The sequence below is a fragment of the Homo sapiens genome, chromosome 2, assembly GCF_000001405.40.
Source record: "Homo sapiens chromosome 2, GRCh38.p14 Primary Assembly".
NCBI classification, from domain to species: Eukaryota; Metazoa; Chordata; class Mammalia; order Primates; family Hominidae; genus Homo; species Homo sapiens.
The window spans coordinates 59,445,226-59,457,210 of record NC_000002.12 but is presented as its reverse complement, the minus strand read 5'-3'; positions in this window follow the sequence as shown (position 1 = coordinate 59,457,210).

Sequence of the window (11,985 nt, the reverse complement as noted above, 5' to 3'; positions counted from 1 at the left end):
GCTATTAGAAAAAAAAATGTTTACAGAGAAAACAGTGTCATTGTTTAGTGCTCTTAATTGACCATCTGCCTGGTAAAGAAATGTCCAAAGAAGGATAAATAAGACTATAGTACACTTATTTATTTATTTTCTTTGTGCAGTGAGGAAATTAGGAAAAGCAACAGCGGAGGCAAACTAGATAATACGTTTCTAAATCAGGCTGCAAGTGAAATCATGCCATGCATATGTTTCTTTTTAAATTTCTTCCAGTGTCAAGACAAAGACCTATGGCCTTCTCAAAGTTTGCTTAAGAAAAATGTTTTAGACTGCCCCTCGAGTTCCTTGGCAATGTGGTTCTCACCTTCGTGTTCCCATTCTCTCCCACAAATCCCCCTTGTGTGGACACGCTGCTCTAACCACCCTGCTTTGTTCTCTGATGCACAGTTTCTACAGATAAATGCTCTCCCTCTGTGCTTTTGCTTAAGCTAGTTCTATCCCTCTCTTCTCCCTTCCAGCTATAGAAATCTTACTAGTTCCTCCAAGAGCTAGGTCAAGTATTTCTCCCCCACCACCCATCCCTGTGTCTTTTTCTGACCATCCGGGAAGACCAAAATCTTCCTCCTCCAAAATTCTCTAACTCTTATTATTTTTCCATTCATTTGGCAATGGAAGGTGACCTGCCTGGTGACGTTCTTCTGTTGTGCTGGAACCATTATTCAAATTAAGCTTTTCCATTTGCATCCTCATATGCTTCTGTTTTGACTCTCTCCTTGCAATGTTCTCTTCCTAAAATTCTGTCTTATTCTTCTTTGAATTCCCCCCAAAATGCCCATCATTTTATATATATGTGTGTGTGTGTACATATATATATATATATTTTTTTATTTTTTATTTTTTTTACTAGATTTCAAAAATCTAACTAGCACTCAGGGTCTTGCAAAATGTTTATGATTCATCTTTTGACAAAATCAAATAAACCGGGGCTGATTTGACCCTCAAAGCATGTTTTAATTCTCTTCAGTGAATACACTGAGTACCTATTATGTGCCTGACTTTCTGTGAGGCCTTGGGAATGCTGAGAAGAATCAGCCATGGTCCTTTGTCTCAAGGAGCTTACCTCTGGAAAATGGTCTCTGGTGGAGTCACATTTCAAGGAGAAAGGGGTGCAAGAAAATACAGGAAACATCAAAATCAGAAGGTAAGCTTCTTGGAATTTGATTCAGATTACTAAGAGTAATTTTGACAGGGGCTTTTCAATAGTTACCAAAAACCCAGGTTCACACTGATGGATCTGTTCTTTTGATGTGTCACACTGGTGCACATCTTGCAGAAAAGGCTACATTGAATTGCTCTTGCCAGGAGGGAAAACAATATGTGGCACCCAGGACAGATCTGCTCCCAGATTCAGTAATTTGGGTCCTATTCCATGTCCAAAAAGCAAGGAGCAGCTGGTCTTGAGAAGATTATCTGTTGTGCTATATGGATGTCCTTCTGCCCAGGGTCTGAATTGGTTTTCCTCCCAAGACAGTGAGTGACCAGGCTTATGCTTGGGGACCTGTCTCTTCCAGGATCACAGATGGAAGCCCCCATTACAGCCACACACAGATTCACCACAATATGGAAACCCTTCAAGCAGGAAATGGAACAAAAACACAAAATATGACCTGACCCAATACTAGCCTCAAATTCTAGTGGATAACTCTACTTGGTATTTTTTCTCTGTAGTTCTCTGGAGACAATGGAAGCCTGGTTCACTAGCAGATATTTTTTAGGACTTAAGCAAATACTGTTTGTAACAACTTCTCTGACCCAGTCTTTCCCTCTCCAACTCAGTTATTCTTAGAGCATTTTATATACTTTATACATTTTGTAGTGTTTCCCGGAAAATGCTTCCACCACTGAGTAGCCATGTAACTAAACTGATCACTCCTTGTGCATAACAATTACTATTACGGATAGGTTCATATTTTTCTGCTACCCTGTTATCCTAAGTTATTAAAGGCCTTTTGCTCTTGTTTTTGTGCCTCCTTGAAATATTCTTCCCAGGATCTCCTCATAGCTCAATTTTTCTTATTTATTTTATGTCTCTGCTCAAATTCTGCTCTATCATTGAACTCTTCTTAACCTCCATATATAAAGAGCAATCTTCACTTCAAACATACCCTGTTTAACTGTTCCCCATAGGTAAGCTCATTAAAGCAGAGGATTTATTTCTCCCCACCCCTACACATGGGTGTATCTCAGGCCATTTTATAGGTATTTCAATAAATATATATTTAATAAACTAACTCATTTTCAGAGATTCTTGGCTAGGGGCCTTATTGTGATTTCATAAATCTGTAGAATTTCTGGGATCTGGAGTCCTATAGTCCCATAGTCCTAGGTTTGGATCCCGTCATTGACCATGACCAAGTTTCTCCTCCCTAAGCTTGTTTCCTTAACTTCAGAAGAGAGATAATAGCATTGATCTCTTTAGAGTGGTGATGGGAATAGCTTGAGAGGAGCTCACAAGAGCATGTGTCTACAACAGCAAGGTATCCAGCATATGTAGATTATTTTCTCACCCTCCTTTTGCGCTGCCAGCTTCCTTCTATCTCCTCCTAATTTCTTTCTCCCACATCCTCCATTTTCTCCTTCCTTCCTTATTTTTTGTCAATCCTTTTCTTCGTTTCCTGCATCCATTCCGTCCCTCCGTATTAGGAGTGGAGATAACCTGAGGACTCCCATTCTGCATTTGCTTCAGTAGCCCTCTCAAAGCATACACACCCACACACACACACACAGACACACACACACAAACACACACAGACACACACACAGAGACACATACACAGAGACACACACACAGACACACAGAGACACACGCACACACACACAAAGCTCCTATTCCTTTTTGAAAGATTTGCACAGAACCGTATCTCATTTTTTCAACAAAACTTAAGAAAATATTTGCCTTTATTGTCATGTATTTCTCCACTGAAACTTTTTGCAGACCCCAAATTTTTCTCAGCTATCTAAGAATCACAACGTAGACTACTTCTTTGGGGCATTCATGGGTAGAGGCTATTTTTCTCTTCATCCTTTGCGCCACGACAACAGCATGTAGTCTAAGGGGTTACATGAAACACTGCAACCCACACATGTGTTCAGGCAGAGATTGATATTACTTTTGTCATAAGGAAAAATTAACACAGATATTTTTCAGTACTGTGGTAATCTTAGTTTAGGTAGAAGCCTTTACTTTATTGGGCTTTGAGAAGACATTATTTCTAGTATTTCCTGGTGAGAAGACTGAAGCAAATTTAGGTAACAGATTGGCCAACACTGAAATACAACTGCAGAAGTCCCAGAACTTAGAATAATGCCTGAAAAACAGCTAATTCTGGCCTCAATTTGGATTACATAGAAACTCAGTTACAGTGTGTAAACCAAACAGAGGGGAATTCGTTAGTCTCATATAACTAGAGGTACAGTGACAGATCATCCAGGACTGGTACCACGGTTTAACGGTGTCTTAGTGATACAGCATCTGCCAGAATTCCTTGTGATCCAGACCGGGAGAAGGAGGAAGGGGAAAAGAGCAAAAGCAGATTCCTACTTAGAACACATTGACCAGGACGGAGTTCCACGGCCACCCCAGCTGTGACGGAAGTGAAGAATGAGGCACTTTGGCTCTAATCTCTATGATGGAGGCTGGCATAAAGGAATATTGCTGGAATGGATAGTAAACAGTATCTACAACAAAACTATTTGTAAATAAATCAGATAATTTTTTAAAAGAATGAATTTGGAATTTTAGAGCCAAACAATGACACGTTTCAATCTTTTTATTTTACCAGAAAGAAAACTACAGAGGTCACTGGATTCTTTTAAGTTCACACAATACCTTAGTCCATTCCTGAAGTTATTTTAAAAACATGAGAGGTGCCAGCAGATTTGGCATCTGGTAAGGATCTTCTTGCTGCATCTTTACATGGTGGAAGGGTAGAAGAATTCAAAAACCTAGCTAGCTCCCTCCAGCCCTTTAATAAGGGAAACTAATCCCATTTACCAGGGCAGAGGCCTCATGACCTAATCACTTCCCAAAGGTCCCACCTCTTAACACCATCACCTCAAGGTTTAAGTTCAACATATGAATTTGGAGGGACACATATTGATACTATAACATTCTGCCCCGACCCCAAAAGTTTATGTGCTTCTTACATACAAAATACATTTATTGGCCAGGCATGGTGGTTCACGCCTGTAATCCCAGCACTTTGGGAGGCCAAGGCGGGCGGATCACGAGGTCAGGAGATCGAGACCATCCTGGCTAACATGGTGAAACCCCGTCTCTACTAAAAAATACAAAAAAAAAAAAATTAGCCGGGCGTGGTGGCGGGCGCCTGTAGTCCCAGCTACTCGGGAGGCTGAGGTAGGAGAATGGCAGGAATCCAGGAGGCGGAGCTTGCAGTGAGCCGAGATCGCACCACTGCACTCCAGCCTGGGAGACAGAGCAAGACTCCGTCTCAAAAAAAAAAAAAAAAAAAACACACACACACATTTATTTTATCCCAATAGTCCTCAAAGTCTTAACTTATTGCAGCATCCATTTTAAAGTCTAAGTCGAAAGTCTCATCTAAATCAGATATGGGTGAGACTCCAAGCGTGATTCATCCTGAGGCAATTTTCTCTCTAGCTGTGAGCCTGTGAAATTAAACAAACTATGTGCTTCCAAAGTACAATAATGGGACAGGCATAGGATAAACATTCTCATTCCAAAAAGGAGACATGGGAAAGAAGAAAGGAGAATCAGTTTGCAAGTGTTCAAAACCAACAGTGCAACCAACATTGAATCTTGAAGTTTGAGAATAATCTTCTCCAACTCCACGTCTTGCCTTCTGACACTGGGGCAGGGGTCTCCAGCATTTTAGGGGGGCTCTTCTCTTGTTGCTTTGGTGGGCACATCCCATGCAGAAGCTCTCAGGAGTTGGAGTCAGGTGCTTCCAGGTCTCCCAGACTGGTACTGCATACTGGTGGCTCTACAGTTATGGAGACTCGAGGTGGCCCCATCCTTATGGCTTTGATAGGCATTGAGCTAGTGGAGGCTGTCTGCAGGGCTTAAACCTGTGGTAGTACTCTGCCTGGGCCCCAGGGCTCTCCAATGCATCCTTTAATATCTTGGTGGAGGTAGCTGTGCCTCCACAGCTCTTGCACTCTGAGTACCTGCAGAGTTGGCACCCTGTGGACGCCAACAAGGTTTACTGCTTATACTTTCAAAGAGACAGCCCAAGCTGTACCTGTGCTGGCTTGTGCCACAGCTAGGGTGGCCAAAGAATGCTACACTGTAATGTCGGGAGCGAAAACTCGAGGCAGCTCTGGACAGAGGGTCCCAAGATCGCATGGGTGTCCTGAGCTTCTCCTTCGAAACCATTCAGCCATCAAAGGCTCATGATGAGAGAGGCAGCTTCAAAGGTCTCCAAAATGCCTTCAGGATCATTCTTCCATTGTCTTGATTAAGAACATCTGGCTTCCTTATATCTATATTTAATCTCCTTATCAAACATTCCCTTGACCACACCCTTAGTTTTCTCTCTTGAGCATACTTTTTTTATTCTTTACATGTCCAGGCTGAGAATTTTTCAGATCTTTAGGTTTTGCTTCCCTTTTGATTATAAACCTATCTTTAATTTCTCTCTTCTATTTTACTATAAGAAGTTGAAAGAAGCAATGAAGCATTCTGAGCACTTTCCTGAGAGATTTCTTCCGCCAAGTATCTTAGTTCACTGCTCTTAAGTTCTGTCTTCCAGGAAACACCAGAACATGAACACAATTCAGACAACTTCTTTGCCACCTTAAAACAAGTATAGCCTTTTCTCCAATTTCCAATACCTTGTTCCTCATTTCCATTTAAGAGCTCATCAGAATTGCCTTTACCTTCCATACAATCATGCATCACTTAACAATGGGGATACTGTCTGAGAAATACATTGTCGGGCAAGTTCGTCATTGTATTGGACATCAGAGAGTGCACTTACACAAACCTATATGGTATAGCTTACTATATACCAAGGCTGTATATGGTATAGCCTGTTGCTTCTAGGCTATAAATCTGTACAGCATGTTACTGTGCTGAATACTGTGAGTGACTGCCACATAATGATATGTACTTGTGTATCTAAACATACCTAAACACAGAAAACATACAGTAAAAATATGGTAAAAAGACAAAAATATGGTATACCTATATAGGACATTTACCATGAATGAAGCTTTTATGACTGAAAATTGCTTTGGGTGAGTCAATGAATGACAGGTGAGTGAATACGAAGGCCTAGGACATTACTGTACATCACTGTAGGCTTTATAAACACTATACACTTGGACTACATTAAATTTATTTTTTAAAAATGTCTTTCTATACTAACAAATTAACCTTGGCTTATTGTAACATTTTTACTTTATAAACTTTTTGTTGTTTTTAATTTTTGACTCATTTTAAATAACACAGCTTAAAACACAAGCACATTGTACAGCTGTACACAAATATTTTCCTTCTGTTAATTATTCTCTAAGCTTGCTTCTATTATTTATGTATTTATTATTTTTACTTTTTAAGTTTTTAGATAAAAATAGGACATAAGCATACACATTAGCCTAGCCCTATACATGGTCAGGATCATCAATATCACTGTTTTCCAGCTATACATCTTATCCCACTGAAAAGTCTGTAGTAGTAATAATATGCATGGAACTGTCATCTCTTATGATAAAAATGCCTTCTTCTGGAGTACCTTCTGAAGGACCTGCCTGAGGTTGTTTTACATTTAACTTTCTTATTTTTAATAAGTAGAAGGAGTACATTCTAAAATAACAATAAAAAGTATAGTATGGTAAATACAGTAATTTAGTTATTTATTATCATTATCGAGTATTATGTACTGTACATAATTGTATGTCCTATACTTGTGTATGACTGAAAGCACAGATTTATTTACACCAACATCACCACACACACATGAGTAATGTGTTCTGCTACAAGGTTCCAATGGCTACATCACTAGGAAATAGGAATATAGGAATTTTTTTTAGCTCCATTATAATGGAGTTTACAGGACCACTGTTGTGTACATGCTGTATTGTTAACTGAAATGTTGTTATGCAGCACATGACTGTATTTCTACCAACATTCTGATCATGACCAGTTAAGTAATCTCAAAAAAGATTAAGGCTTTCTCTATAGCTCTCCTCTTGTTCAGAGCCCCCTAAGAATAGTCCCTTTGAGGCTCAGCCTCTACCCACTACCCAATTTCAAAGCCACTTCCATATCTTTATGTATTTGTTATAGCCAAATGCCACTCTCAGTACCAGTTTCTGTCTTAGTCCATTTCTGATACTATAACAAAATACTTTAGACTGAATATTTTGTAACAAACAGAAATGTATTTTTCATAGTTCTAGAGGCTGGAAAGTCCAAGATCAAGATACCAGCAGATTCGTTGTCTGGTGAGGGCCTTCTGGCCTTGTCGTTGTATGTCAAGAGGGCAGAAGGGCAACAGGGTCTAGCTAGTTCCCTTCAGCCCTTGTATTAGGGCATTAATGCCATTCACAAGGGCGGAGACCTCATGACCTGATTCCCTTCCATCAGGTCTCACCTTTTGATATCCTTATCTTTAAGTTTAAGTTCTGACATATGGACTTTAGTTTCTCAAACCACAGTGCCCAGTAATTACAGTTCTCAGATACTAAGATAAGTCAGCTGATTGCCAGCAAGGTCCTCTTGTTATAACATGCCACCTGCTGGTCCTTCACATTCCTCACCTTGGTATGCAGGACTATGACTGGGGTAGATGAAGTAGTAGGTCAGACCTACTCCTTGAGAAAGCCACAGTGGCTCCATCTTTCCATGAGTACACTTATTGCAGGTCTCTCTGCATTCCCCATTAAAAACAAAATAGATGAACATATTGAAGCTCAGTACATTTGAATTAGTTACTCTTGAATCACCCAACTAGGAATGGGCAAAGTCACAATTTAAATTCAAAGGTTTTGAGATGCACAGACACTAAGTTGCAAAAGAAACATTTGTGTTACTTCATTTTAATGTAAGTAATCAGCTTTTGTAATTCGCTTATAAAATATTTGTCTTACTCTTTAAAAAACCAATATTGTTTATTTTAAACTTTTATTATTATTATTTAACTAGGCGACTCATTTTTTACTAAGGAAACTGAAAGAGTAATGTCATATGAATGACACCACATTGGTCAGTAAATACGCCTTTTTTTCTTCAGTCAAATGAAATAAAACCATTCATCCCTGGACTCTTAGTCTGAGTGTACCATGGAGCTGGCAGAGCTGGAGGAAGAAACAAGCTCCATCTCTCTCCTCCCATACCTACCCCATTGCCATCTTATCAGCATTGGAGAGAGGACTAGCCAAGTCCATGTGTAAAGATATCAAGTCTAAAATAGATTGTTTTCTACTTTAGGGCCTCTCAAACTTTAAAGCTTATGTACATTGCCCTGGAGCTTTGTTAAAATGTGGATTCTGGTCAGTAGACTGTGTGGGGTCTTAGATTTGGTATTTCTAATAAGTTCCCAGGTGATGCTGATGCTTCTGGTCCCATCTGTCACTTTCTTCCCAGTGACCCTGTTTTGTTCTTTTCTTCAAAGCACTCATTACCCCTGAACTATCATATACTGATGTGTAAACACCCACCTGCTCTCCACTAGAATGTCACATCTTTGGGTCAGTGGCTGAGTTGCTGTTGTTCACCTCTGATGCTTAGCACCAAGATTAGTGGTTAGTTTATAGGAAAGACTCCCCCAAATATCCAGTGACCCCATTAATTAATCTGGAAAAATACCTTAAACAGAATGCCAACCATCCTACCTTTGAGAATGCTTCTATTCCAATGGGAAAAAAAAAATGGCCACTCTAACCACCTATTGAAAGCTAACGGCTTCTTAATTATTCTTTCCAGGAAGTACTTGGCTTCCCAACAGGCCCTGCATCTCCTTCCCTCCACTTCACCCCACCCCATATTGAAGCTAACCTAGATTTCTTCAGTGCTGTCAGCATTTTCATGGGATGAACTTGGGGAAAATTTTGTGACCTACACAGAAGAGTGTCTTATGATGGGAAAAGGCTCTTTCTATCTTTTCTGGGTGATAGCATAAGATCTTTATTAGGTCAGTGCCTTGCACGAGCCACAAGCCTCTTAGGGAGGTAATCTGTCCAGCTCATCCTGTCACCCTTCAACTTAGTGTCACTCAGTAATGATGTACTCTGGCTGTCATCTCTATTATCCTTGTGCAATAAGTTCGTCTGCCTCCTTCTATCTTCAGTTCATTTGGAGTCCATTTAGCATCTTTACTTAGATATGTTTGGTAATTACATCTGAGAGCCCATGAAGCACTAACCATTCAAATAGTTTTCAACTGTACCTTGCATGAGAGAGCATGAACATTAGTAGCAAACACTACTTTTGATTTTCATGTGATAACAAAATCCAACAAGCAACAAAAATATACTAGAACAACAAAAATCTTGTGGCCTCCTTTGGGAAAGGTTACAAGATAAGTACTTACATAGTCAATGCCATTCACACAATGAGATGCTGCTCCTTCCCCACATCTCTTTTATTTATAATAGATCTTGCTTTAAAGGTACCTGCCCATTTATTGTAGATGACAGACTAATAAAATGAAGTCAGTTTAATAAACGCTGTATCAGAATATCCCATCTTCTAATGTGGCAATGTGAAATTTCACCACTGGAGGAAGCATTTAACATTCTGACTATTTTAATACTTTTAATAAATATTTGCAATTCCTGTGATAAAGCATCCCAGTAGAAAATGCATTTCCTCCAAAATTTATGGGGCCGCTGGCAGGTGGCCATTTTCTAATTTTCTGTCTCACATACATTTATTACAGATTTCTAACAATCCCTTTTTTGCTTTTTGAATGACTATGAGCATGCTGTTTTGTCTGAATAGGAATGTATGTGGTTAAAATTGAGGGTGGTAAACCAGAGCTTTCTGGTTTGCAAATTGGAGGGTTGTTCATATCCTCTTGGTGGCTCCTTCCACGTCTATTTTGTTCAGCTCTGTAATACATTTAAATCAGGTCTTCAGAATCTACATGGGACCAGAGGATCCTTTATTCAGTTCCTCAGTAGTGAAAGGTTGGGAGCAGGCATAGGGACAGGGTTAGGAATAGGTGTCAGGTCATAGAGTTTGACCTGTTAAACTTTGAGCTTACGCATAGAATGCTGCAGAAATTGTAAAATACTTGTTAGAGTAATACAACTTAGAGAGACAGTAATATCCAAGTTAGACATATTTCAAATACAAAGGGAAGAAAGCTACGCAAATTCTATTGGAAATCTTTCTGTAGAACAGAAAAAAATAACTTCTTAAAGTTTGTCATCACCCTTTAATATACATTTCCATCTTTGTTAGACATCTCCGTGTAAAATTAGTGGGTACATCTCAACTCAAACATTGCAAAACAAAGCTCACTCTTTGTGCTACTTCCTATTTCTACCTTCTGACATACTTAAGATCTAATTCCTTATCTGCATGCTGGATTTCACTTAAAGTTATTGTCATTATCCATAGGCAGAACAGAAATCTGAGTCTTTTTCAGGTATTTTATTTCAATGTTATCTCAAGGCCTTCTTGTCCTTCCTACTCAATGTCTCTTTACTCATTTCCTTCCTCAGTTCCCACTGACATTGCCCTAGCTTATTTGTTTATTATCACTGATGGCCACTACTTATTTATGAATCATTTAATCAATGCATTACTTCATTTAAGCTGTCCAACAGTCCTCTAAATCAGGTGATAATATATCCTCACTTTACAGACAAAGAGGGAGGCAGAAAGTCTCAGTGACTTTCCCAGAGTTACTCAGCTAGGAGGCCTTAGTACTGGGATTTGAACTCTGGCACCAAAATGAGGCTGTGAACCGCTAGGCTCTCCCCTTCCAGGCTCCCCACCAGCTATTATAAAACCTTCATAAATGATCTTTCTGATTTCTTTGTCCTGTGTCTCCTATTCCTCTTTATATTTATGCCACAGACTGCTTACAAAACCATGGTTCATACCACAACCTTTAAAACTTCTGGTAGTACCTTCATGCCCATCATTTATTCATTCAGTCATTCATTTATCATTCATTCTGTTATTTCATTTATTCAACACATATTTGTGAATCATACATTATGCACCAGGCAAAATCTAGGCACGGGGGATATGGTAAGATTAAAAAGTCATCCAGAGCTCTTGCCTAGTGAATGATAAGTTAGGAAATAATGATACAACACTATCTTGGCTAGTAGTAAGTACTATGAAGAAAACTAAAGCAGAGTATAGGATAGAGATAGAGAGAGAGAGAGAGGATTTGCTGTTTTAGATGAGATAATTAGGAGAAGCCTCTGCAATAGTTACATTTAAGTATGTGCCCAAGCAACAGGAAGGAGGATGTATTCTAGGCCAACGGGGAAAAGCATTCAAGGAAAAGTGTTAAGCAAGCGCACCGTACTTAAAGCAGGGCTGTGCTCAGCCTGTTCAGGAGCAGCCAGGAGGCCAGGGAGACTGAAGTAGAACAGAGAGCTGAGACAAGAGAATTGAGGGAAGCTGGGGTGCCCTATAAACTAGGGGTAGCCAATCCCTGGGCTCAGGACTGGTACCAGTCCGTGGCCTGTTACAAACCAGGCAGCAGGAGGTGATTGGCTGGACAGCGAGCATTACTGCCTGAGCTCCACCTCCTGTCAGATCAGTGGTGATATTAGATTCTCATAGGCATTAACCCTGTTGTGAACTGTGCATGTGAGGGATCTAGGTTGCACGCTCCTTAGGAGAATCCAATACCTGATGATCTGAGGTGGAACAGTTTCATCCCGAAACTGTCCCCCAACCCCCATTCATGGAAAAATTGTCTTCCATGAAACTGGTCCCTGATTAGAGACTGCTGCTATAGACTATGGTAGTGTCATTGGAATGATATTCCTTTCCCT